Genomic DNA, 27513 nt, shown 5'->3' with positions numbered 1-27513 from the left:
AACTCAAGCCTGTTGTATAAGTGGCCAGGAAAAATTGTGAAAGACTTTTGAAATGGGGAGAAAATGTACCCTATGGAATGCAGGCCTGGTGTGCCCTTCCAGGTTATGTCATTCTATGGTAGTCTCCATTTTTCATTGTCTTTGAATCTGTAAACTGTAGAAAACTGAAAATAATACAAATTATTATTGTCCATGGCAATGCAAACAAGTTTTGTCAGGTGGAGATGCAAGTGATCCCCCACCCCCCACCCCACCCCCCGCCAAACACACACACACACACACACACACACACACACACACACACTGTGGATGAAGCCAGTTTTGTATCAATTAACAAACTTATTTCATTATTTCTGATGCCAGTGTGTGTATCTGGCCTTTGTGTTGTCCTTTGAATCAGTTTTTAACTTCATTAACTAATGAGTTAAATAAAATCTTTTACACTTGTTCATTTTTTATTTGTATGACAGGCATGATTTCTCCCTTGAAAAAATAATCATTTAGTGGCACGTGCCTGTGGTCGCAGCTACTGGAGAGGCTGAGGTGGGATGATCACTTGAGCCCGGTAGGTGAGGCTGCAGTGAGTGGTGATTGCGCCACTGCACTCCAGCCTGGGAGACAAAGTGAGACCCTGTCTCGGGGAAAAAAAAAAAAGGATCATTTAACAAACCAGAAAAACAAACAAACAAACCAGAGACAATGAAGACTATGAGGAAGAGATTTGACCAAGGTTAGACGCCTGTTGTAACAAATACAGCACCAATCCCTAACCCTCAAATGTGAGCTTCTGGACTGAATTCCTTGGCTATTGTATTTATACCATCAAGTAACAAGTATTGAAGTCACTTTCTATTTGACTTGACCATTTACCCTACACAAATATATTCTTAATTTAGAAGATGCTTTCCCACAAATATATACACACAGAGACTTACACATGCACAAACACAAACACCTGCGGGCATCCACAGGCCCCCACCCCCCCCACCCCACCCCCCGCTGACACGCTGCACAAACTCCCCCACAGATCCAGAGCTCCCCTCCCCGCCACTGGGACAGCCGCCCTCCCAGTGCCAAGCCTGCTCTTGGTTCCTTCATCTCAGCGGAGCTTAAGATTGGGGATGAGCAAGGCCCCTTCCTGCGGACCCTGGCCTGTGCCACGCAGGGAGAAGAGGTGGCTCCCTCACTTATAATCATTGGCCAGGGGTCAGAGTGGCTCTGGGGTGCGACGCTGAGGGGTTCAAGGGGATGGAGGCCAAGCCCCATCCTCAAAGACTGCCGGTCGTGGAAGAGGCCAGCACACGGGCGGAACTAGGCCCGCTGTGGAGCCACGCCCCCAAGTCCTGGGGTAGTCCGGGAAGGCTGCCCGGAGGCGGTCACCTCAGCGCTGAGGTTTGAAAGCGTGGAGGAAACACTGGGAGCCTGGGAGCCGTACAGCCGCGGCTGGGCCGAGGTGTTTGGTGGAAGGACTGAGCCAGGGCCTCCTAGCACGGATCTGTTAAGTGGATGGCGTTTTTGGTTTTGCGGAAAAACAAATCCCGCGGAATTCAAGGACCTCCCAGGCGCCAGACTTGACCCGCGGGTCGGGAGCAGCGCGGCGCGCAGCCCGTTCGGCACCCACCCCGCGCCGCGGCCGCTCTCGCGGTGGGCTCGCGGCGCCCCCTGCGGGCGCCAAGCCACTCTCCCCACACTGCCACCCCGGGGAGGCGCCGGCGGGAAGAGGCGGGCGGGCGGGGGCTGCGCCCAGCCTTCGGGCCAGGAGGTCCGGTCTTCCGTCCCCACCAGCCCCCGAGGTCGCTGCTGCAGGCCGGCCTTAGTTCTGTGCACCCCCGAGGGCGCCGCGTCCACAGATCCCCATCACCAGGAGATCCCATCCCCATTCTGCAGATGGGGAAACCGAGGTTCAGAGACGGAGCCTGATGCATCCACCGCACGAAGAGGAGTCTGTGGATCCCGCGGCCCACCCTCACCCGAGCTCGTCTCTCTCCGCCTAGGTGTGGCCACAGACTCAATGGCTTGCCGTGCACCCCACGCACCCTCTCTTCTGGTTCTCTCTGGGCCACAGCGTCGCCTGGTTTGGCCTTTCAAGAGCTGTGTGGACGGGAGTGCATGTGGGGTGGGGTTACTCATCCACTTTACAGGAGGGAAATCTGACAACCGCACGGGAGCGCCCTGGGATCTGATAGTTTCACTTGCGTGGTCTATACTAAGGAGACAATTCAGAAACTCAGCAGATTTTGCTGTGTAAGTGCTTCTCCCTAGTTGTTCATAATAGCAAAACTTGTGAATAGTCTAACTCTCTACCGCTTGGTTAAATAAATGGTATTCTACGCAGCCATGAAAAATCATTCTGGGTAAAAAGTTTGGATATATTAAAGACGCCATTCTATTGTTAAGCAAATAAGCAGGTTACAATGCAGCATATACAATAACAAAGTTCCATTTCTGTGAAGACGCATGTGTGTGCACACATTTTTTTAAAACTCTGCAAAGATATACACCAAAAACTTGAATATTAAGATTAAGAGTTATTATAAAATAAGTATTTGTACCTTTCTGCATTTTCTAAATAATATTATACAGTGAATCTGTATTGTTTTGTGTTTGTTTTGTTGTTTTGTTTTGTTTGACAAGGTCTCACTCTGTCACCCACGCTGATCAAGTGCAGTGGTGTGATCAAGCTCACTGCAGCCTTGACCTCCCGCGCTCAAATGATCCTCCCACCTCAGCCTTCTAAGTAGCTGGGACAGCTAATTTTTGTATTTTTGTAGAAACGAGGTTTTGCCCTGTTGCCCAGTTTGGTCTCGAACTCCTGAGCTTAAGCAATTCTCTCATTTTGGGATTAGAAAGGAGCCACCATGCCCAGCTCCCTATTTTATTTTCTGTCTAAAACTTATCAATATCTGATATTTTTCATTTGTTTATTATTTATTTGTTGTGACCTTACCCTGTTAGAATATGAATTCCATGAGAACATGGACCTTGTCTGTCTTAGTGACTAGACTAATGTCTGGCACTCAATAAACAATTGTTGAATAATAAAATAATGAATCCTCCAGCAACTACATTATATGGATGTCATTCTTTCCATTTTACAAATGGGAAACTGGGCTGGAAAAGATTAAGCAACTTGCTCCAAACTGCACTGTTAATGGTAGTGGTGGTGGGGATATAGGGTGCTAAGATTTGAATCTCGGGTTTCCAAAGACATACCATATTTCTTTTTTAAAAAAATTCTGTTGGGAGGCCAAGGTGGGCAGATCACGAGGTCAGGAGTTTGAGACCAGCCTGGCCAATGTGGTGAAACCCCGTCTCTACTAAAAATACAAAAATTAGCTGGGCGTGGTGGCAGGTGCCTGTAATCCCAGCTACTTGGGAGGCTGAGGCAGGAGAATCGCTTGAACCTGGGAGGCAGAGGTTGCAGTGAGCCAAGATCACGCTATTCATTGCACTCCAGCCTGGGCAACAAGAGCAAAACTCCATCTCAAAAAAAAAAAAAAAAAATTCTGAGACAGGAAGCAGGATGAACTGAAGCTGGTTGTGTCTATCTCCTTTTATGGCAATAGCCCTTCTTTATACCACAGGCCCAGACCACAGTGCCTGGACTAGAAGCAGCTAACATCCCAAGTGGTCAGCCCTTGGGGTCACTGGCTCTCAGCAGCAGTGGCAAGGCCTGCAGGTTTCTCATGGATGTTGCTCGCCACCCTCCCAGAAAGAGCAGACAAATCATTCTCCCCAGCTTGTCCCCATTCATGCTTACATTTTTTTAAATGAATTAATACTTTTAATAATTTATTTCTAAATCTTTCTTTAAAGGGGCATTACAGTCTATTGCGAACAGATCTGCAGGCAAGTCAGCCTGACGTTGAAACTATAATACATGTTTTTCTTAGTTTTGGCACTATTTACTGTTTAGAACAAAAGAGAATAACTTTTAAAATAACAAATGGATAGTACTTCACTGGGAACATCATCCAACAGATAGATTTTCTTTTCATACCACAAATCTACATATCTTTAGTCAAAGTTATATTAAGAAGTTAATTTCCCAAAAGAAACAAGAGTAAACAGTCATGATGAGACTTAGCTGGGTTTTCTTGAGAAACGAAATTAAAAACAAGCTGTACTGCTTACTTTTCAGCAAATTCTACTTTGCCAAGTTTCAGAAGGAAAAGCCTAACATACTGGAAACTACCACATGTAGTTTCCAGTGTTGTCCCCTTGCCCGGGAGAATCTGGGGGACCTACTTCTTCCTGACAGCCTGCTTTGTCACCACCAAATCCATCAGCATGATGGCTTCACTCCCTACCACAAGCAGCCTAGCACCTGGGTTGGAGTTGATAAATTCCGCAAACCTGGGTCGGAGTAGATAAATTCTGCTGCCTCTTCAACGGAGCTATGGATTTCAGGGCTCCATCTATGTGCGTCAGTCAGTTTGAATGCAGCTAGTTACTTACTGCAAGTTTGCCAGCTCTCTGCAACAAAAATCCGGCATATCAGTCCATTTCTCTCCCCATTACAACTTGAGTAGGTACTGAGTAGCAATTTTTTTTCCAGAGCTCCTGATGTCTGTCCACTCTATGATCCACCAGTTTGGTCATGTGGCAAACTCTGTTACAATCAACATTTTGGAAAATTTACCATCACTGTCATGTTATTCAGAAGCAGCAGCTCTTGGTGACTGTGATTTCTGTGGCTATTCTGGGATTGGGGGAAGGAAATGCCCCAGAAATTCCCTTTCCTACTTCCTTGATCCAACCCTTTCAGCCTCTCTTTTCCTTCTGCAGTATCTAAGTGAATATTGGAGCTTTTCTGTGTAAGAAAAAAAAAAATGGCTGGGCATTGTGGCTCACACCTGTAATCCCAGCTACCCAGGAGGCTGAGGTAGGAGATTGCTTGAGGCCAGGGGTTCAAGACTAGTGTGGGCAACATAGTGAGACCCCCTTCTCTAAAAAAAAATTAAAAAAAAAACATTAGCCAGTCAAGGTGGCATGCACCTGTAGTCCCAGCTATTCAGAAGGCTGAGGAGGGAGGATTGCTTGAGCCCAAGTGTTTGGAGTTTGAGGCTGCAGTGAGCTATGATGATGCCACTGCACTCCAGCCTGGGTAACAGAGTGAGACCTCATCTCTAAAAATAAACAAATAAATAGGGAGAAGCCGTAGAGACCTACAGGCTTATTATATTGATTGGTCAGTGTAGCCCTTTTTGAGGAAATTGTATTTGAGCAGAGATATGAATGACATAAAGCAGCCAGGCATGCAAAGATCAAGTCACAGAGTATTCCAGATGAAAGTAAGAGCCAGAGCAAAGACTCTTAGGAAGGGTAGGCCTGGTGCGGTGGCTCATGCCTGTAATCCCAACACTTTAGGAGGTTGAGGTGGGCGGATCATGAGGTCAGAAGTTCAAGACCAGTCTGGCCAACATAGTGAAACCCCGTCTCTACTGAAAATACAAAAAATTAGCCAGTGTGGTGGTGGGCGCCTGTAATCCCAGCTACTCAGGAGGCTGAGACAGAAGAATTGCGTGAACCCAGGAGGCGGAGGGTGGAGTCAGCCGAGATCACGCCATTGCACTCCAGCCTGGGCAACAGTGGGAGACTCCATATCAAAAAAAAAAAAAAAAAAGATGGGTATCAGGTAGCTTTTGTTCAATAATAAACCACTTCAAAATTCAGTGACATAAAAATAATAACCATTTATTTATTATTACTTTGTGGGTCAGTAATTTGGGCTGAGCTCAGATGGGCTGTCTTCTGGTCTCAGATGATCTTACTTTTGTGTCAGTGGTCAGCTACTAATCAGCTAGGTGACTTTGCTTCTTAGGGTTGCCTGGCTATCAGCTGGAGTGATGGGAGCAAGCGGGCCATATTTCTTTCATCATCTAGCAGGCTATCCCAGGCTTGTTGATAAGTCTTGTTGATATGTGGCAGTGCAGGGTTGCAAGAGAGAGTAGAAGCATGCAAGGCCTCCTCAGGCTTTGACTCAGAAATGGAACGATGTCACTTCTGCCATATGCTATTGGCAAGGCCAGCCCAGATTCAAGAAGTGGAGAAACAGACATCACTCCTTGATGGGAGACTGAGAGACAAGGTCACAGAGAAAAGGAGAATTATGATACTTGTAACACACCATGAGCAAGAATGAACAAAGAACAGAAAAAAAAAATTCCAGCATGTCCAGAGCAATTGTTGGGGAGTGTTATGGGCTGAACTGTATTCCCTTCAAAATTCATATATTGAAGTCCTAATCCCTAGTACCTCAAAATGTGACTGTACAGTCTTTAAAAAGGTAACTAAGTTTAAATGAGGTCAGTAGGGTGGCCACTAATCCAATATAACAGGTAAGGGAATGAAAAGACAGACAAGAAAATATTTGCAAATCACAGGTCTTATAAAGGACTCGCATCCAGAGTATTTTTTTAATTCAGTAATAAGAAAAAAACAATCTAATAAAAATGGGCAAAAGATATGAACAGATACTTGACCAATGAAGATATGAAAAGATGCTCAACATCATTAGTCATTAGGAAAATAAAAATTAAGACAAAGATATACCTACATATTTATTAGAATGGCTAAATTTAAAAGACTTACCGTACCAAGTCTTGGCAAGCAAACAGAAGAACTAGAACTCTAATAGAATGCTGGTAGGTATATAAAACGGTACAACCACTTTGGAAAACAATTTGATAGTTTGTTAAAAAGTGGAACATACATCTGTTACATGATTCAGGTATTCCATTCCTAGATATTTCCCAAGAGCAATTAAAGCCTACAAAAAGACCTGTAAACAAATGCTCATAGCAACTTTATTTGTAATAGTCAAAAACTAGAAAGAACCCAATGTCCATCAACAAATGAATAGATAAACAAATAATGGTATATCCATACAATGGAATACTATTCAGCAACAAAAAGCAATAAACTAGCACAATCTATAGAAGAAAAAATAATCAACACATTACACTTCATCAAGAAGAAAAACTTTTATTCTGTGAAAGGCTCTATTAAGAGGATGAAAAGACTGGAAGAAAATATTGCATACCATGTATCTGGCAAAGGACTTTTATCTATAATATATGATATATAGTCTCAAAATTCAATAACAAAAAACAAACAATTCAATTATAAAATGGGCAAAAGGCTTGAAGAGACAGCCAGCCACGGTAGCTCATGCCTATAATCCCAGCACTTTGGGAGGCGGAGGCAGGCGGATCACTTGAGGTCAGGAGTTCAAGACCAGACTGGCCAACATGATGAAACCCCGTCTCTACTAAAAAATACAAAAATTAGCCGGGTGTGGTGGTGCGCACAGATAGTCCCAGCTACTTGGAAGGCTGAGGCTGGAGAATCGCTTGAACCCAGGAGGCAGAGGTTGCAGTGAGCCGAGATCACACCACTGCACTCCAGCCTGGGCAACAGGGCGAGCCTCTGTCTCAAAAAAGAAAAAAAAAAACCTGAAGAGACACTTCACTGAGGAAGATATATGGATGGCAAATAAATACATGAAGAGATGCTCAACACTACTAGCCATTAGGGCAATGTAAACTAAGACCACAAACAGATGTCACTATACACCCATTAGAACAAAACCTAAATTAGTGACAATATCAAGTGCTGGTGAGGATGTGAAGAAACTGGATCTCTCATATGCTGCCTGTGGGGATGTAAAAGAAAACTAAACATAAAACCCAGCAATTGTATTCCTGGGCGTTTCTCTCAGAGATATGAAATATGTGCACCCAATACTCTGTACATGATTGTTTATTGCAGCTTTATTTGCAATTGCCCAAAACTGGCAACAACCAATTGCCCAAAACTGGCAACAACTCAGGCTTTGACTCAGAAATGGAACGATGTCACTTCTGCCATATTCTATTGGCAAGGCCAGCCCAGATTCAAGAAGTGGAGAAATAGACATCACTCCTTGATGGGAGACTGAGAGACAAGGTCACAGAGAAAAAGGAGAATTATGATATTTGTAACACACCATGAGCAAGAATGAACAAAGAACAGAAAAAAAAAATTCCAGCATGTCCAGAGCAATTGTTGGGGAGTTCTCCTTCAATGAGTGAATGACTAAGCTAACTGTGATCTTTCCATACCACAGAACATTACTCAGTCAAAAAATAAAAATAAATAACAAAAATGAACTATTGACACATGCAACAGTGTTGGATGCATCTCAAGGGTATTATGCTCTCAAAAGATCACATACTGTATGATTCCATTTATAACATTTCTCAGAATGACAAAATTACAGTGATGCAAAGCAGATTAGTGGCTGCCAGGGTCTAGGAATGGTAGAGGATGGGGGTTGGGTGTGACTAAAGGGATAGCATGAGGGAGATCTTCGTGGTGATGGGACAGTTCTTGCAACTTGATTGAGTGGTGATTACCCGAATCTCCATATATAATAAGACGGCACAAAACTATACATACACCTTGCACCAATGTCCGTTTACTGGTTTTGATGCTGCACTATGATTATGTAAGATATATCCATTGAAAGAAACTGGGTGAAGGGTACACAGACCCTACCATTTTGGCAACTTCCTGTGAATATATAACTGTTTTGAAGTTAAAAGTTTTTTAAAGAGCAATTAACAGTTGATATTCACTATAACCTAGATAAATCTCAAAAATAATTATGCTGTATGAAAAAAGCCACATCAAAAAGAGTATGTACTGTATGATCCCATTTATATAAAATTCTGCAAAGTGTAAACTGAACTGTAGGGACAGAAAGCAGATTGCCTAGGTACAGGGAGTGGGAGGATGTACAGGCAGGAAGGAGTAAGAGGGAAGGGTTACAAAGGGCCATGAGGAAGTATTTGGGGGTGATGGATATGTTTACTATATTACCTTGATTGTGGTGATGGTTTTGTCAGAGGCATTCGAACCAGAGCGACTCCACTTTGAGTGAGGGCTAGGAGAATGAGGCTGAGACTTGCTGGACTGAATTCCCAGAAAGTTAGGCATTCTTAGCCTCTAGATGTTTACGGTTAAGGGAACAAATTAATAATGTTTACTAAAACAGACCCAGACTCGGGAGTGTCCAGATATCCCAATATCTGGGGAACAAAGGCATTCCTAATTTTGCTTGAAAGATAATAATATTGATTCTTGCCAAATACGATAATTAAGAAAATTAATAGTTTATCACAAACCCTTGTAGCAGAGCACATCTCTCCATATATACAAGCATTGTACCTAGGGTGGATGCGTTCCTCCTCTTAGTTTCGGGAACGTCCCGCTCTGTCTATGGAGTAGCAGTCCTTTCACCACTTTGCTTTCTTAATAAACTTGCTTTCGCTTTGCACTACAGACTAGCCCTGAATCCTTTCTTGCATGAGATCCAAGAACCCTCTCTTGGCGTCTGGATCTGGACCCCTTTCCTGTAACAGTTTCAGGGTGTATACATATATTAAACTTATTAATTTGTATACTTTAAATATTATGCACTTAATGCATATCAATTTTACTTCAATAAGCATACTAAAAATATTAAGTGCCTAGTAATAAAACTTACTAAAGACATACAAATCCTCCACAAAAAGTCTAATATGATATTGGGAGACATTTAGGTAGATCTAAATAAATGAAGGGATCTACCATAGTCCTAGAATGATAAAAATCCTAATTGGGTTTTTTTGGGAGGGAGGGCGACAAGTTGATTCAAAAATGTATATGGGAATTTTAAAAGGCCAAAGATAGCCAAGACACTCTTGAAGAGTAAGGAGAAAGAATTTATATTAACAGATATCAAGACAGTGAGACGCTGATAAACAAATAGACCAATGGAACAGATTGAAGAGCCCCAAAACAGATCCACACATACATAGACACGTGGTATTGGACAGAGGTGGGAATGCAGAGTCATTGAGAAATGACCAGTAAAAGGCACTGGGTCAATTGGGTATCTATAAGCATTCTTCTCACAACACACAAAAATCAATTCCAAGGTAGATTAAATACCTAAACATGAAATGTGAAAGCCTACAGCTCTTAGAAGGTTGTACAGGAAAATACCATCACGATCCTGAGTATGGGAAGATTTTTTAAATAAGTAACAAAAAGCACCAATGATAAGGGGAAAGTAGTAATAAAAAAAGAACAAAACGGTAACTACACTAAAAACGAAGAACTTTAAGCCTGCGCATGGTAGCTCACAACTGTATTCCTAGCACCTTGGGAGGCCAAGGCAGGAGGATCTCTCGAGGTCAGGAATTCAAAACCATCCTGGGCAACACAGAGAGACCCTATCTCTACAAAAATACATAAATAAGAATAATTTTTCATAGAACTCTACTCACTAAAGATATTATAAAAAGAATGAATAGACAAGTGACTGGGAGGGAGGCAAGATACTTGCAAATAACCAACAAATGGAAACTTGTCAAAACCACAGTAAGATACCACTACACACCCTACAAAATGACAAAGCTTTAAGAATCTGTTGGAGTGTAGCTGGAGCAACAGAAATTCTCATATGCTGCCAGTGGGAAGATAAACTGGCATACCACTTTGGAAAGATGTCAGATATTATATAGTAAAGTTGAAGACAGGCATATCATATGACCCAGAAATGTTACTTTGTTTCTACCCTGAAGAAATGGCTATACACGTGTACCACAGCATATACATAGCAACACTGTATGTAATAGTAAAAAAACTGGGAAAACTCCAAATCGTCTATTCATAGTACAATAGATAAATTTTAGTATTTTCATTCAGTGGGATATTACATAGATGCTAAGCCGTCAAAAAATAGAAAAGGCTACTGCATAGTGACCTATGCAGAAATGGCTGTCTTCCTTATAGTAAGAGAGTGACAGACCAGCAAGAAAGACTAAAAAGAAAATTAAATATAGCTCTCAGAACCAACCATAGCAACAGCAGGGAATGTTTTGAATTCCAGCATGTAGCAGACACTGTGCTAGACTGTCTTAAGATAACTCTACCTCCCACAACCATTCTGCAAAGTAGGAATTATTTTGCATATAAGGAAACTGAAGAACAGAAAAGTTAAATGACTTACCTGAGGGCACACAGATAGCAGGTGACAGAGTGAAGATTTGCAGCCAGGAATCAAATCCCACCTTCTTTCCATTGAAGTATGAACTGTTGATTGCAGCAACCATTCACCACCCCTCCCTTCATCCAGAACCCTGATTTTGTTAAGATGTACTGCCTCTTCCGTGCTGTCCACCCTAGGGATGGCAGAGCAAAAGACAGAACAAGCATGGGCCCCTGAGGACTCTCTCTGGCAATGCTGCCAGGCCATCCCAGTTAGATGTTTTTGCTTCCTTTTATTTATTTTTCCTTTATTTTAGTTTTAGGCCCAGTGGTTGTAGAACTGCTAGGGTTCTTGAATCAAAAAGAAAATGTAGTTAGAAGGCAAACTTCCCATTTCCTTCCAAACCATTGCAAGTAATACTGAAACCCAAACCAGATCACTACAGCAGATGCTACAAGGGCTACAACAGGACTGGTTTACGCAGCCTGCAGAAGAGAACCCAAGCAGGAAGGCCTGTGAGTGTAAAGGGCTCCAGCAGGCAGCCTGGTAGCAGTGTTCCGGGAAGCCTGAGATGGCTAAGAGCACTGTGAGGGTGGAGGCCTCTGCTTTATCCTGCCCCGATTCATTCGCCCTATGAAGCTCATAGGTCCCTGCCAGACAGAAGCCCACACAGTCCTGTGCCTCCTGCCTTTCTAGGCTCAGCGCTTCTTCCTGGTCCAAAGCAGTTAATTTCCAAAGTGAAAATTCCGGGCCACTATGTTGTCACATCCCCTCAAGCTACAACCCGGTTCCCAGTCTGTGTAGGAAGTTCTATTACTATCAAGAAACTCTCATGTTCTTCTTACTGCTTTGCTGCTGACGTTCCTCTCATCTGGCTCCTGTGCCTCAACACCCCTGCCTCTCCCCTGCACTGGCCAGAGGCAGTCCATCCTCTGAGCACTTCTAGTCCCCTCCTGACCTCACATTAGTGAGGAGGATGTCTGATTGCCAAGGGCTATGGCTACAGACACAAAGCTTTCTCTTTTCGGGGGCTGGGATCCTTTATTCCATCTCTTCAATCTCTTTGGAGTTTTCTGTAATCTTCAAAATTGTGCTCTGACTCTGGCCTTTGGGCATGGCCTGTGGTGGGCTGTGTCCCTGGCATCAACAAAGGCTTTGACACAGTGTGGCCTTCAAAGAGCAGCTTGGATGAAACCCCAGAGGCCTGGAGCTGCAAGGAAAGTGGGTTAGCCCAGCTTTCACAGGGACCATTTGGTCCCACTTTAGTTTCTGCTCCACGTGGGAACAAATGTGCCCCTTAAGGCCTTTCAGATTGCGGGGGTGACGCTGATGGGTATTTATGTTAAAGCCAAAACCTTCAGCTAATTTGGAAGCTGACAGGATTCTGCTAATTCTTTGTGTTCATACAGGATCTGCTCCCTGGCCTTCCAGGTCAGGATCTTGGGTGGGGCACCTGGAGCCTCCATTTGCCTCTGAATTTTCTAGAACCAAATTGCTTTTCTTCTCTCATTTCAAGGTCCTAGGAGAGAGAACCAATAGGAAAGGCCATGTCTGGAAGCAATTTGGGTGGGGGCGGGGGGTGTCTTGAGGCCTGCCCAGCCCAGCCCTTTCCTCTTTGTTCAGCCTAGGCAAAGGAGCCACAGCTGCCCACTCAGAGCTGTTTTAATTGTCCCCAGAAACCTAACTTCTAGAAAAACAATTGGCTTGCAAAGGATTCCAGACTCTCTGAACAGATAGATGATCAGAATCTTTTCTGATTTTCGTTAAGGAAATATTTCAAGAGGGACTGTGGCACCAAGACAGTGAATGCCTGCCCCTGAGCCCCGATGAGAAGGAATTAAGGGCCCTGTGACTCTGTATGTGACCAGAAGCCACATCAGGCTCCGCCAGGCCTGGCAACTGTCCCTGGTGTTCTGTTCTTCACCTCCTGCGGCTCCTGACTCTTCAGTTCTCAGTTGGAATTGAGGTCAGCTCTCTCGTTTCCTTGTCTGGCCCCCTTCACCACCCACAATGCAAACCCACACTGAGTGACTAACCAGCAAGAGGCCCACAGCAGGTCCCATAGCAACCAGAGGGGGCCAAGCTTGCTACCACAGCCCACAACATGCCAACACCCCATTTAGACTTTTACATGAGAAATAAACATCCACTTTGTTCAACTGCTGTTGTTTTGTCTCTGTGACTAAATCAACAATTCTGGCAAATCTAGAAAGAAGCAGAAGAATTAGGTGCAAAGTGCTGGAAGTTTAGCAGCCTCTCGTGGGAGCAAGAAAGCCCCAGGCAGGTTTCTGTCCACATCACTTTAATGTGGAGCACTCTCCTAGTCCTCTAGATCTGTCTGTTCTATCACCTTCCCACAGTTCAGCTTCCTGTGCTCCCCAAAACTTCACCTTGGAAACATATTTAACTGGTTCTGACCTTTAGCCTTGTGTGACTTTGTGGGTCCACAGCCAATATCAAATAACTACAGACAACAGAAACTTGGTTAAAATTCTCAATAGAGGGAAATGATCGCTGGACAGTCAGCAGACTCGCTGTTTTCAGGTCAGCTGCTGGCTCAGTCCCCTCTGGGTGCCAGGGAAACCTGACAGCTGAGGGTTGTGAGAAGAAGCAGTTTCTCTAGGAACTGACTGACATGTCTCCCTAAGGAGAGAGAAGTGACAGGCAACTCTAGGGAAGATGGCTTTCATGGCTTCATAAAGATCTGACTGGCTCTTTGGCTTCTTTTCCAAGGTAGCCCAAATCTGTTCCTGTGTGAATATCTTTGTCGAAAGGGATGGCATGGTCAGGTAGGCTGGGTAGGATGAACTGCGGGAAGGTAGATGACCAGGATGGGGAAGTTCTGATGAGGTGGGGCTGAGGAGAATGAAGACTAATGCCCAAGATCAAAGTTAGGGAAATAAAGTTTCGCTGCCAAGTCCAAAGGTCAGGGTCACAGTGGAAAACTGGACACAAAGCCAAGGTCAGGAGCCGAGAGAATTGGAAAAGTGGAAACAAACCAGGGAACAAGACTAGGCCGGGCATTGTGGCTGATGAGAATGAGCTGGTACCCAGCCTAGCTTCACTGTCTCTCAACCTAGCCTCATGCACAGAAAAGTATCAGCGAAGAGAGGGCTGGGTTTAAGTGATGTCACCAAGGGGGAACAAAAGAAAGCAGCGTTTCTCAACCCAGGTCCATAACTCTCGTGTTGTGCACAAGATTGTGTACATTTTCCAGAGTTTGTTAAAGGGAACAGCGCCCCCAAAAGGGTTAAAGTTTGATTGTGGAATAATCTGGTTATCCAGAAGAGAACGATCTCTGCGGGCTCTCCTGTCTCGACGAAGTCCTTTAGTGGCTGAGGGTCTCGGCCACCTTCCAAAGGGGCGGAATCCCCCTGCCTCGCGTACCCCAGGGGTCTCGGCAGCGCCGCTATTCTGTGAGCCTATTCCTCTCAGAAGCGCCGAGCACTAGGCCTGGAAGAGGACAAGTCTAGCAAATGAGGGGACACGGGCGGAGGGAGGGATTAAAAGATGGGGGTGTGATCCGTGCCAATGGGGACACCCACTGGTTCGAATATTAACGCGAGGTTTGTCCGCTTCTTCACAATCTGTCCGTTTCGTTTTACTGCGAAAGCAAATGTGTTCCCATCCCTCTATTTGGGGATACGATTAGAGTTCCGGGAAGGGGGTGCAGCGCCCGGACTGGCACAACCGCCGTTGTCCCACCTCCTCCGGGGCGGCAACACCGCAGTGCCAGGCCTGGGACTGAGGCGTGGGGTCCCCCCTCGCTCCGTCCTGGCGCCGCCCGTCGCCCCGCCCCTTGGGGGGCCCCGTGGCGCACCCTTGTGACGTAGCGCTTGTGTCGACATCGGCGCGCGCCGAGCCCGGAAGAGGCGCGGGCTAGGAAAGGAGTTGGTTCGCGCAGGTGCGGCGCCTGGGTCCCCATGGCGCTGTGGCGCGGCTCCGCGTACGCGGGCTTCCTGGCGCTGGCCGTGGGCTGCGTCTTCCTGCTGGAGCCAGAGCTGCCAGGCTCGGCGCTGCGCTCTCTCTGGAGCTCGCTGTGTCTGGGGCCCGCGCCTGCGCCCCCGGGACCCGTCTCCCCCGAGGGCCGGTTGGCGGCAGCCTGGGACGCGCTTATCGTGCGGCCAGTCCGGCGCTGGCGCCGCGTGGCAGTGGGGTGAGTGCCAACGGGGCCTGGGTCTCTGAGCCTCCGAGGTCGGCCTTGGAGGTCGGGCGGAGCCGCGCAGAAACAGGGCTTCTCAGAGGTCCCCGGGAGGCGCTGCTGTCCGCGCTGGCCCCTTGGCGAGAAGTGTCGGACGTCTGAGTGGAACCCGGTTCGTCACCGCTGCTCTTTCCACTCGGCTGGCCTCTGCGCCTTTCTCTCATCCCGGTAGGACCAGCCCTAACAGCTTCTTGCTAATCCCGCTTTGTCTGACACCTTTCTCCGAGCCTTCTTCCTCGTTCCAACTTTTAGCCCCTTCTCTTCTGGCGACTGTTGTTTTGCAATCAAAGATACTTGACCTTACCCACTATGACAACACTCTTCCTCTTTCTTCTGAACTTCTTGAAGACGCGTGATGTCTGCCTTTACCCACTTTCGAAACGCCGTGTAGTCTAGAAACCACACGACTGTACTGCAACTCCTCTCAGATTTGCCTTTTTGAATCTTCATTATCTACTCTGCAGCCTTCCACGCATTGAACACGCCCTTCTCCGTGAAATTCTTTTCTTCCCCTGACTTCAGTGACACTGCATATTTAAGGTTCTTCCAAATGACACTACCTCCTTTCTTTGTACTTTTCCTTGGGAATGTAATTATTTTCTTTATAGTATTGATACTGTAAACACTAACTTTAGTCCCTGTCTCAGTTCGATTTGACTTTCTTGCCGTAATCTCAGAGTTATGTATAACCACCACATAAAAGCAGGCCCTCTACCATGTAGCTCACTACTTTCTGTGGAGTGTTGGGGCCGGGAGGGGTAAAGTAGAGCAAACTTGGCCTGAAGATTAAATGACATCATTCATGTAATCTCTCTAGCATAGTGCCTGCTTTAAAAAGCATTCGATATTAGCTATAATTTTGGGGTTTTTTTTTTTTTTTTTTTTTGGACACAGGGTCTCTCTCTCTGTCGCCTAGGCTGGAGTGCAGTGGTGCAATCACTGCTCACTGCAGCCTCGAACTCCCGAGCTCAAGAGATCCTTCTGCCTCAGCCTCTGGAGTAGCTGGGACGACAGGCAAGCACCACCACGCCCAGCCAATTTTTTATTTATTTTATTTTTTTTAGTAGAGTCGAGGTCTTGCTATATTGCCCAGGCTGGTCTCGAACTCCTGAGCTCAAGCCAGCCTCCCATCTTGGCCTCCCAAAGTGCTGGGATTAAATTGTCCTTCCTTGCTTTATGCGCGTTCATTCAGCAGATATTCACCAACTACATGGTTAGTGTCAGGTCTGTGCTAGGTTCTTAAGATACAGAGATGGGTGAAGCAAGGCCCCTGTCTCACTTGTTGGAAACATATTATTGTATCAGTCATTTGGGCTGCTAGAACAGAATACCACAAATTAGGTGGATTAAACAACAAATCTGTTTTCTCGTGGATCTGGAGGCTGATAGTCCAAGATCAAGGTGTTGGCAGGATTGGCTTCCGATGTGGCCTCTCTTCCTAGCTTGCAGCCAGCTGGCTTTTCAGTTAGTCTGCGCATGTACACTCCTGGTGCCTCTTATTCTTCTTATGTGGACACTAGGTCCTTTTGGAATAGGGCTCACCCGTATGACCTTATTTAACCTTAACTACTTCCTTAAAGGCCCTACGTCCAAATATAGTCACATTGGGAATTAGGGTTTCAGCATATGAATTGGTGGGGGGTGGACAATTCAATCCATAACAATTATGGTTAGAAGAGGAACAACCCACGAGGACCAGGCAGAAGCCTTAATGCCTTTTACGACCTTACCTTAGAAGCACATAGGAACTCTTCTACCAGAGTCACAGGTCCACCTGGTTTTAAGGGAGGGGACATAGAACAAACCTTGATGGGAGGAGCATCAGTGTCACATTGTGAAAAGAACATTTGGAATGGGGCATCTTATTGCCACCATCTTGGAAAATATATTTTACTACAGTGACTTTCATAGGACAGACACTAAATAAATGAGATTTCTTCAAGCCAAAGTGGGAACAGGTCCACCTAGGCAAGAGAACCAAATGTGAAAAAGTACATGGTTTGTTTGGGAACAGGTCGGCCTTGTTTTGGAGCGAGAATCCTATGGTAGAGGGTTGTAAAGAGATGATGCTGAGAACGAAGGGTTGGACCAGATTGTGAAGGGCCTTTTATGGGGAAGCCATAAAGGTTTGTAAGTAGTTAACTGATGACAAGTTCTTTGTTGAGAATTGGTGGGAATGTGAAGGGTGGATTTTGAGCAGTGGTTCTAAACTGTTTCACTGCTTCTCATCATTTATTACCCAAAGAGGATTTTTAGCCCAAAGATAGGGGGATATAGGAGGGATGAGGGGGAGCAGGTGTAGTACTTGTATCAGAATCTCATTTTGAGGTTGTAGTTTGACTTCTCTAGAGACACACTCGTATTCACACTCTCTGTCACACAGACACACTCAAAATGCCATTTAATGTGATTCATAAGGAGGAATATCTTGACATCCTGACACTGGTTTAAGAGGCCATTGTAGGGTTTGTGTAAAGGGAGAAAGGAGCCCGAACCAAACTCGGCAATGATGTAGAAGAGGTGAGATTTGAGAGATAACCTGAATAATAGTTTGGATGTGGTGGAGTAAAGAAAGGCAGTCAAAAACGACAGGTTTTTAATATTGGATATCTTGTTTAGTTTTTGTTTTCTGTTTGAGACAGCATCTCACTCTGTCACCCAGGCTGGCGTGTGCAGTGGCATGTTCAAGCTCACTGTGGCCTTGACCTGTCATGCTCAGTGTCCCGAGTAGCTGGAACTACAGGCATGTACCACCACACCCGGCTAATTTTTATATTCTTGGTAGGGACAGGATTTGCCAAGTTGCTCAGGCTGGTCTTCAACTACTGGGATCAGGCCTTGGCCTCCCATCTTGGCCTCTGAAAGTGCTGGAATTACAGCTGTGATTCCACACCCAGCCCAGTATTAAATATCTTATAACAACTAATATGGTTAGGCTTTGTGTCCCCACTCAAATCTCATCTTGAATTGTAATCCCCATAAGCTAATCAAGGGAGAGACCAGGTGGAGGTAATTGAATCATGGGGGCGGTTCCCCCATTCTGTTCTCCTGATAGTGAGTTCGTTCTCATGAGATCCTTTGGTTTTATAAGGGGCTCTTCCCTGCTATTCACTCGGCACGGCTCCTTCCTGACACCTTAAGAAGAAGGTGCCTTGCTTCCCCTTCACCTTCCACCATGAATGTAAGTTTCCTGAGGCCTTCCCAGCCATGCTGAACTGTAAGTCAATTAAACCTCTTTCCTTTATAAATTACCCAGTCCCGGGCAATTCATTATAGCATTATGAAAATTGACTAATGCAACAACTTTATGAGGGAGGCAGATAACAGATATTGTCACCGAGTCTTCTCACATTGATTTATTTGCCCAAGATCTTGTAGCTATCAAGTGCCAGAGGAGCAATTGAAGCCTGGTCTTTCCCATTTCTGGTTCCTTGTTGATGCCATGTTGTTGCCATTAAGAGAGATTTAAGAAAAACAAGTTTCAGAAGATAAATTGGATTTCAGAGGAGGAGAAATGTACATACATTGTTATGGGATTTCAGATGAAGCTTCTCTGTCAGCTACTGAAAATGAGAAGCTGGTTTTTAGGAATATATTGAGAAACAGGATTGCAAATTTTGGAGACACTGGCACTTAGGTTGAAGCCAGAGACTGGATAGGATCACCCAGGAAGAGAAGAGGAGAAGGTAAAAATGGTAAAGGTGGAATTCTGGGAGGCACTAGCCCTTAAATGCTAGTGCATTAAGGGGCTGGTGAAAAGGGGTCAAAGAAGTAAAGGATAGGAGGAGTTTTAAGGCGTTTCTAGGAAACTTCCCCTGCTTCTAAATCAGACTCTGGTACCTATTCATTGGTTTAAAAATGATGAAACCCGGCAGGCATGGTGGCTCACGCCTGTAATCCCAGCACTTTGGGAGGCTGAGGTGGGTGGATCACCTGAGGTCAGGAGTTCGAGACCAGCTTGACCAACATGGAGAAACCCCATCTCTACTAAAAATAAAAAAATTAGGCGTGGTGATGCATTTCTGTAATCCCAGCTTCTCAGGAGGCTGAGGCAGGAGAATCGCTTCAACCCAGGAGGCAGAGGTTGCGGTGAGCCGAGATCGCGCCGTTGCATTCCAGCCTGGGCAACAAGAGTGAGACTCTATCTCAAAAAAAAAAAAAAAAAAAAACCCTCATGCTAATATTTATTGCCCCTGGAACTGGCTTCACCCTGAACCTTGAAACATATCTTGGTCTTCTCCCCTGTATGAATTCTCCATTCTAGCTAGATAATTCTTTATTGTATCCAAACACAAGGTTAATCCCTTCATGTACAACTTTGCTTGTGTATACTTCCTACGTGGGTTTCAGTATCATCAGATAAATCTGGGTTTGAATTTCAGCTCTGCCTGTCTGTGGGCTTTGGAATGTTAGTTAATCCATGGCCTCACTCTTCTCAGCTGAAAGCAGTGATGACTAATTAGCGATCTTACCGCATTTTGCAAATAGGTTTAATCTATCTGAAAATGCCTGCCTAGCGTGGGGTGCTTCTTAAAGATCAGCCGCCTTTCTTCTATCTAGATGCAGGAGCTAGGGTTCAGCACAGGGACCACTGCCCTAGCCATTTTTCCCCCGCCTCTTTACAGTTCTATGTCTTAACAATTACGATTAGCTCTTATAACAGCTGATGCACATAATGTAAAGCTAGAGAAAACCTTAGAAAACATTTTACAGGTGATGAAACAGAAGGGAGGAGATAGGAAACATCGTCTTTGCCTTAGAGGCACTTATGGTCTAGAAGGGAGAACTGTGCCCTCTTTGCCAGCCCCCCAACCCATTTTGACATTCAGCATCTGTTGTCTTGACCTATTTTCTAGTTGTTTCATCTGTGTTTTCTCCAAAATCACAGTCATCTAATATACATTTTTTACTGAAGTGTGAGCTTCTGCTTGCATGTCAGATGAGCATAATTTTGTCTTCTGATTCTTTAACTGTGTCTCCCTTTATTTCCCCTTGACAATACAGCCCCTTAGGTAATATGCTTTTTACATTTTGGGATGCTATTGAGTTGAGAAAGTGCAGAGAAAGATTCTTATTCTGGTTAAAGTATTATAAAACAGAACAAGAAAGTACATGTAAAGTACTTGTTTGGCATCCGGCATGTAGTAGATGTTCAGTGTTTTTTTGAGACAGGGTCTTGCTCTCTCACCCAGGCTGAAGAGCAGTGGTGCCATCTTGGTTCACTGCAACCTCTGCCTCCCAGGCTCAAGTGATCCTCCTGCCTCAGCTTCCTGAGTAGCTGGGGCTACAGGTGTGCACCACCACACCCAGGTAATTTTTGTATTTTTTGTAGAGACGGGGTCTTGCTATATTGCTCAGGCTGGTCTGGAACTCCTAGGCTCAAGTGATCCACCCGCCTTGGCCTCCCAAAGTGCTGGGGTTACAAGTGTGAGCCACCGTGCTCAGCCTGGTTTTTTTTAATTATAAAAAGTTATCAAGTAAACTGTGAACCAGTCTGAAAAACTGGTTATTTTCCCCCGGTATTCCTGGTATGATTAGGTGAGGGATGGAAAATGTTCCATGATAGTGATATTTTGTAACTCAAAATTAGTTCTGTTGGGTTTTGCCTTGTGTTACAAAATATACTGAACAGCTTTCCCCATTCTCATTTTAAGGAGTCAGACTGTTTAAAATCTCAGCAGTACTAGATATGGAGAGTGGGGTGTTTATAGTTTTGTTTTGTTTTGTTTTGTTTTTGAGATGGAGTCTTGCTCTGTTGCCCAGGCTGGAGTACCATGGCACGATCTCAGCTCACTGCAACCTCCACCTCCCGGGTTCAAGCGATTCTCCTGCCTCAGCCTCCCAAGTAGCTGGGATTACAGGTGTCCACCACCACACCCAGCTAATTTTTGTGTTTTCATTAGAGATGGAGTTTCACCATCTTGGCCAGGCTGGTCTCAAACTCCTGACCTCATGATCCACCTGCCTCGGTCTCCCAAAGTGCTGGGATTACAGGCTTGAGGGTGTTTATAGTTTTTGAAGTAGTTATTTTCAAAGACAGGTTTCCCTCCATTTCTGAACCTTTACTCTTCAGACTCGGGACCCAAATCCATTTGGATACAATTTTTTTAGACTGGGCTGTCTGGAGGAAATGGTATCCCTCCTTACTCAAGCCCTCACTGTCTGAAACTTAGGAACCTACTGGCGTCTGAGAGCTACAGATACTTGTATTCCTGTTGATTCTACCAATCTAATGTTGCATTCATTAGAAATAAAGGGCACCATGTCTGAGGTAAAATTGAGACCAGTTTGCAAGGTGTGTTTGGTTTCTTAACATTGAAGGTTGTGAAAGGAAAGATTTTAAACATATCTTTAAGCAACTGCCACGTGCATGTCCAGAATGGCCCCTTCTGTGTGTGTCATGGAGAAGTTCTGGCTTATATTTTCAGTGTTTCTTTACTAGAAATCATCCCTCTTTTAAAGAGAAGGGCCAAATACAGTAGCTAGATGTTTTATGCACTGAAAGGCATAGTAAATCTTAGGTTATGCTTCTCCAGTTGACCAGAGTCATTATGTGTGTCTTGAACAAGAAACTGAGTATTTAAATGCTATTTGATAGGCAAAACTCCTTTCAAAACATGAATCCCTAGGGGAAGAATTAATAAAAAGGACCCTTATAATGAGGATGCAGTCTCTTTGTGTCTTGAGGGAGGATGTCTCTTCCTTGCCCTTGTAAATCTTCCTTAAGTGATGTAAATAATATCTAGTCTGCATACAAACCTTTTTAAAGTTATGTCATTTTAAAAATTCTAAAAGGAATACAAGCATGTTAAAAGTAGAAATATACCTGGTAAAATTCCTCTTCATCCCAGTCTCATTCCTCTTCATTTTTGAAAGAGACTAAAAGGGAAATACAACTATGTATTTTACACCAAAATCTCATCCATTGGGACATTTTTATTAATGAGTTTACCTTGTGGTTTCAGAGCTGCTCAGAATTAACTCTGAAGCCCAGTCACCCGTATCACTAGGGGTGGTCTCAGTTTGCCGGCTGGGAGCTGCCTGTGTGGTAATCCAACCTCACTGGCCAGAATGACATCCCAATAGGCAGAGGCAGGAATAAAGATGACCATGATAGGGGTAGGGGCGGGAAGACCTCATCTAGCTACCTTAATTATTTGAACGTTCTCTTTAAAAGAGGGATGACTTAGCAAAGAAACCCTGAAAATGTAAGACAGACTTTCTCCATACACACATAGGAGAGGTCATGCCAGACAACCTTAGTACAAGTTGAGCATCCAGAATGCTCTGAAATCCAAAACTCTGGGGCACTGACATGATGCCACTGATGTATATTAAGTACTTATATGTGAAAATTCCACCCACACGTAAGGAATAGAAACTTTATTTCATGCACAAAAGTATTTAAAACATTGTATAAAGTTACCTTCAGGCTGTATGTATAAAGTATATATGAAATGTGTTTGGACTTGGGTTGCATTCCCAAGATATCTCATGTATATGTAAATATTCCAAAATCGGAAACACTCTGATCTCAAGCACTTCAGATAAGGGATTCAACCTGTACTTTATAATTTCCATCGAGACAACCAGGAGTGGCAGGTCTTTAACGTTCATGGGTCAGTCCTGTGAACACTGGCCAAAGGGTGAGTTCTTAAAATGCTGCAGGTGTGCCTAAGTCTGTAAAACACCACTAAATTCTAAGAGGCAGGGTTTCAGCTGGGAGTACTCAGGCATTTAGGAATTTATTGTATCTTACCATCCTCATTTGTTTTTAGAGGGAAGATGCCTGATACCTAGCCTTTGACTGAAACACATATTTTGCTTACTCTGCGCCAATTGCTGTTCCTAAGTATACATTCACTTATTTAATCTTAACCATAGCTCTATGAGTTAAATGCTCATATTATTGCCATTTTGTGGATGAGGAAACCGAGGCACAGAGAAATTAGTGACTTGCCCAAGTCACACGGCCAGCATGAATCCTGTTTGGCTCTGCCAGCGTTTTTCTCAGAAATGTTACATTTTTGTTACAGTAGCTTTGTTCTGAAATGCTAAGCACCTATCTTCTCACTTTGTAACTAGTGTAAAAGTTTGCCAAATTATTGAAGAGTCCTGTGTTCTGATGCTAATACATAAATCCAGTTAAAGTAATTTTTCTCCTGCCATGTGCTGTTTACTTCCCAATTCAGGTTTCAGACCTACTTCCTGTTTTTTCTGTTGAATAAGGTTCTGAGAAACATTTTCCTTTTGTTAAATGCAAAATGGCTACTTGGTGCTTCTGCTGCTTTCACACAGTTTTTTTCCTCCTTCTAGAGTCAATGCATGTGTTGATGTGGTGCTCTCAGGGGTGAAGCTCTTGCAGGCACTTGGCCTTAGTCCTGGGAATGGGAAAGATCACAGCATTCTGCATTCAAGGAATGATCTGGAAGAAGCCTTCATTCACTTCATGGGGAAGGGAGCAGCTGCTGAGCGCTTCTTCAGTGATAAGGAAACTTTTCACGACATTGCCCAGGTTGCATCAGAGTTCCCAGGAGCCCAGGTCTGTTTGGTTCAGCAATAGTAAATTAAGGGTGGAAAAAGATGCCTTTTTAATATGGTTCCTAGAAGCAAGCAAGCAACTTTTCATTCCAGTTTGAAGAGGAGGGGAGCAAAATCACCCCTGGTTGAAAACTGTGGGTCTAGGTTGATGGTTCTCAGACTTGAGCATGTGTCAGAATCATTTGGAGAGGCTGTTGAAACACAGATTTCTGGGCCTACTACCAGAGTTCAGATTCAGTAGATGTGGGATGGGACCCAAGAATTTACCTTTCCAGCAAGTTTCCTGGTTGATCCTGTAGGTCTGAGAACCTCCTTTTGAGAACCACTGGTCTGCAAGGTAGAACCTGTCGAAGTTAGAACCTTAGTGGTTTCCAAGTTCACCTGGTGATTATATACAAAGCCCTGCATGGTCCAGGCACTTCCTGGAGGTTCACGTGGAATAAGAGGCAGTGCTGGGGCTGGAGACCCAACCATGGCTCTTCCTACCTCACCCCAGTATGCCTGCTCCTACATGTACCCTCATGCCTCTTGAGGCTGAGTTTTGGTTGGTTGGTTATCTCCCATGTCTTGCCCCCACCCCATTCTTCCTCCTCATTTAAACCTCCCTTTGGCTGGGCACCCAGTCTGGTTTGGTAGTTCTAGCCAGGGAAGCTCTTAATGCCATTTTTAATTGGCACCTTTCACAGGCAAACCTTTGTGACTACTTTTATTTTGATGACTTAAGATTTTAGGCCGGGCACAGTGGCTCACGCCTGTAATCCCAGCACTTTGGGAGGCTGAGGCAGGTGGATTGCTTGAGCCCAGGAGTTTGAGACCAGCCTGGGCAACATGGTGAAACCCTGTCTCTACAAAAAATACAAAAAATTAGCTGGGCATGGTGGCATGTGCCTGTGGGAGGATCACCTGAGCCCGGGAGGTCAAGGCTGCAGTGAACCATGACCGTGCCACTTCACTCCAGTCTGGGCAACAGGGTGTGACCCTGTCTCAAAAAAATTTTAAAAATAAGTTTTTTGTCTTCGAAGCTGCCTATTTGAACATTAGAAATGGACATAGGCATTACCTAGCTGAGTTTCTAAAGGTGACAGCAAGTTAAGATTTCAGTTATCATTTTGACAACTGGGATCAGTAGTGAGATTCTTATCTCTTATGAGAGAATCTCGATAGTTCTAACATGATGAGTTCACTGCTCAAAAGTCTTTATGATTACGGAATTTAAACCACCAGTTTGATTTCTCTTCTCTCTTGATTCTGCCTTTATTTCTTGATGAAAAAAATTTTTACAGCAACTTGATCTAGCTTTGTGATGGTCCAGGTTATTTCTTAACATTGTAAAACCCCTTTCACTAGAGGAGTGCCTTTTCATACTTCCTTATAGTTTAAGGCAGGTTGATAAACATTATATGAAAATTCTGAAATCCACTTTGTAGATATCTTACTATTTTCCCAAGATTTTTTTTAGTAAATTCTAACTATCGTGGTTGAATAAAACATTAAGGCTGACATGTTAAAGGGCCAAATTTCAGCCTACATATCACAGAAAGTTTTAAATTATCTCTAAAAAGCTATTACTGTCCCACCTGAATTCAGAGGTTAGTCAGCACAAAATTGGGATAAGAGTGATGTCTACCATCTAGAATTGTTTACTCCAACCTTGTCCAGTCTGCAGCCCAGGATGCCTTTGAATGTGGTCCAACACAAATTCATAAACTTTCTTAAAACATTATGAGATTTAACCTCCCCCCCACCCTTTTTTTTTAATAGCTCATCAGCTGTCGTTATTGTTAGTGTATTTTATGTGTGACCCAAGACAATTCTTCCAGTGTGGCCTAGGGCGGCCAAAAGATTGGACACCCCTGGTTTAGTCTATGCCTCTGCGTGGGCTGAGGACTAGGAAGCTGGGATAGTAGCATTCCACCCAGGTAACACTATCAGGCTTTTCAACTTTTATAATAGAACAGCAGCCTTAGCTGTTATGTGTCAGATTTCCAAGGCATATGGATCCATCCTTAGCAACATGGAACACCAACCTTGAATTATTTGTTCTCCAGGTCCTCAGCTGAGAGATGTGGTGTTTAAGGGAAAGTACTGTCCTATATTAGGGGCCCATTATCTTTAGAATTTACTCCCAGGAAAACTTTTATGTTTCCCAACACATCAGTGTGTTTCTTCGTTTCTCAAAATTTAGCAACAAACATTTACTGAACACTTCAGAAGAAGACAGTCCCTGCCCCGAAGGACCTAGTTGTGTACCCAGATGATAGTAGCCCAAGCAGACAAGAGCTGCATTAGAGGTTTGTTCAGGTTATAGGGGTAGGAAGAGATCTGTAATCCTATCTGGTGAGGGCGGTTGTGAAGGCTGAGATGTCAGTGGGGTGTAAGGGGAACAGAGAAGGCATTACAGAAGAGGTGACACTGCAGCTGATTCTTGGAAAGTGATCAGGGTTTTACCTAGTATATGAGAAAGGGAGGGTGTCCTAATGGAAGGAAACAGCATGTGCCAAAGGCACAGAGACAGGGGAAGGCTGACTTGGAGAGCTGTAAGCAGGGTGTGGAAGGGAAGGGCAGGAGATGAAGGTAGTAAGGAAAACATGGGTTAGATAAAGGCCATATGTGCCTCACTCAAGAGTTAGATTTTAGTTCATTATAGTATCTACTGAATGATTTTTCCACAGGATAGTGAAATTTTTCTTCATTTTAGAAGGACTATAATGTAGACGATAAGCCCTGTCCACACTTTTCCTGTTTCCTGTGTCTCTTCTGGCTGTCTGTAAGCTCAGAGCTGAATTTGATCAACAGTTAAAGCAATCAGACTCATTTTCATGGTTGTCCTATTTATTTTCTTCATCTTATTACTCACTTTCTATTTCTGTGTTGCATTCACTTCATCTGTGTGTCCTTTGATGTAAAATCACCTCAAAATGTTTTTGGGAAATGGACTATAAATTAATTTTTAAAATAAAAAATGATTAAACTTGGGTGATATAGTTGTATTAAAATACTGTCTAAAAGCCTTGAACTCTCTTACAGCACTATGTAGGAGGAAATGCAGCTTTAATTGGACAGAAATTTGCAGCCAACTCAGATTTAAAGGTAGGTCAAGTTTTTAGATTAAAACCTATGCCTTTCCCTAGTGTTTCAATAATTTTAGGAGCAAGAATGAGTATCTATTCCTTGATTCAACTTATGGATCACCTACTATGTACCAGACCCTGGGTCTTTTGTTAGGAAGCAGTAATAGTAGGAGATAGTAGTAACTAATACTTTGAGTGTTTACTCTGTGCCTGACATTGTCTTTAGTGCTTTGCATAGATTATCTAATCCTTGCAACAAACCCTGTAAGGCTAGTCGGTACTGCCATTGTTCTTCCTTTCTGCATGAGAAAACTTGAGGCACACAGAGGTTCACAACTGATTGGTAATGGAATGAGAAATTTAACCCAGGCAGTCTGACCCAATAACCCATGTTCTTAGGCACCATATCATTTAATAGTTAGGAGCATGTGGGCCTTGAGACTAAGGATTATACAAGTCATGAGGGAAAACAACGGTTGGCCGTGTTGGTGAGCCTGGATCCAGAGTGCCAAAAAATAAAAGCCACTAGATGAGAGTCAGTAGGGGAGTGTCTTCAAGACTTAAATTGTTTGGTTTAAGTAGAATTAAAAATCGTTGCCATGTTCACAGTAACACCTGAGTAAGAAGTTTCTCTTGCTATGAGTAGAATAGGCCTGAAGGGGGAGGCCAACAAGAAAGTT

At 44.2% G+C, this 27513-nt stretch overlaps 1 protein-coding gene and 1 long non-coding RNA gene across 11 annotated transcripts in view, besides 5 other annotated features; one reads left to right on the top strand and one right to left on the bottom strand.

Moving 5' to 3' along the window:
* Positions 1–435: 435 nt before the first annotated feature.
* On the bottom strand, positions 436–15800 carry ADPGK-AS1 (ADPGK antisense RNA 1). Its single transcript, NR_040107.1, has 3 exons — positions 13439–15800; positions 11042–11213; positions 436–631 (listed from the first exon to the last, which is right to left on the bottom strand). It is a non-coding gene; the product is annotated as an ADPGK antisense RNA 1 (long non-coding RNA).
* Positions 1557–1786: a silencer, noted in NCBI's record as "silent region_6627". NCBI's record gives its function as "represses an Ori minimal core promoter by ATAC-STARR-seq in GM12878 lymphoblastoid cells {active_cell/tissue: GM12878}" and the evidence as "EXISTENCE:reporter gene assay evidence [ECO:0000049][PMID:35858748]".
* Positions 14352–14561: an enhancer, noted in NCBI's record as "active region_9730". NCBI's record gives its function as "activates an Ori minimal core promoter by ATAC-STARR-seq in GM12878 lymphoblastoid cells {active_cell/tissue: GM12878}" and the evidence as "EXISTENCE:reporter gene assay evidence [ECO:0000049][PMID:35858748]".
* Positions 14612–14671: an enhancer, noted in NCBI's record as "active region_9729". NCBI's record gives its function as "activates an Ori minimal core promoter by ATAC-STARR-seq in GM12878 lymphoblastoid cells {active_cell/tissue: GM12878}" and the evidence as "EXISTENCE:reporter gene assay evidence [ECO:0000049][PMID:35858748]".
* Positions 14722–15181: a silencer, noted in NCBI's record as "silent region_6626". NCBI's record gives its function as "represses an Ori minimal core promoter by ATAC-STARR-seq in GM12878 lymphoblastoid cells {active_cell/tissue: GM12878}" and the evidence as "EXISTENCE:reporter gene assay evidence [ECO:0000049][PMID:35858748]".
* ADPGK (ADP dependent glucokinase) overlaps positions 14877–27513 on the top strand; it is a 32465-nt gene continuing 19828 nt past the window's right edge. For 5 of the 10 annotated variants that reach the window (NM_001365228.1, NM_001365227.1, NM_031284.5 and 2 more), the window contains exons 1-3: positions 14877–15176; positions 23538–23763; positions 26790–26852. In NM_001365228.1, the coding sequence (NP_001352157.1) occupies positions 14944–15176; positions 23538–23763; positions 26790–26852 (522 nt within the window). In that variant the 5' untranslated portion in view covers positions 14877–14943. Of the gene's footprint in view, positions 15390–18420; positions 18439–23537; positions 23764–26789; positions 26853–27513 lie in introns of those variants that run through there. The other 5 variants (NM_001365223.1, NM_001365226.1, XM_047433164.1 and 2 more) reach the window with 4 other exon arrangements.
* Positions 15432–15501: an enhancer, noted in NCBI's record as "active region_9728". NCBI's record gives its function as "activates an Ori minimal core promoter by ATAC-STARR-seq in GM12878 lymphoblastoid cells {active_cell/tissue: GM12878}" and the evidence as "EXISTENCE:reporter gene assay evidence [ECO:0000049][PMID:35858748]".

Source organism: Homo sapiens, chromosome 15, assembly GCF_000001405.40.
Source record: "Homo sapiens chromosome 15, GRCh38.p14 Primary Assembly".
Classification (NCBI taxonomy): Eukaryota; Metazoa; Chordata; class Mammalia; order Primates; family Hominidae; genus Homo; species Homo sapiens.
The sequence above is the reverse complement of the archived record's forward strand: the minus strand, read 5'-3'. Positions and strand labels throughout refer to the sequence as shown.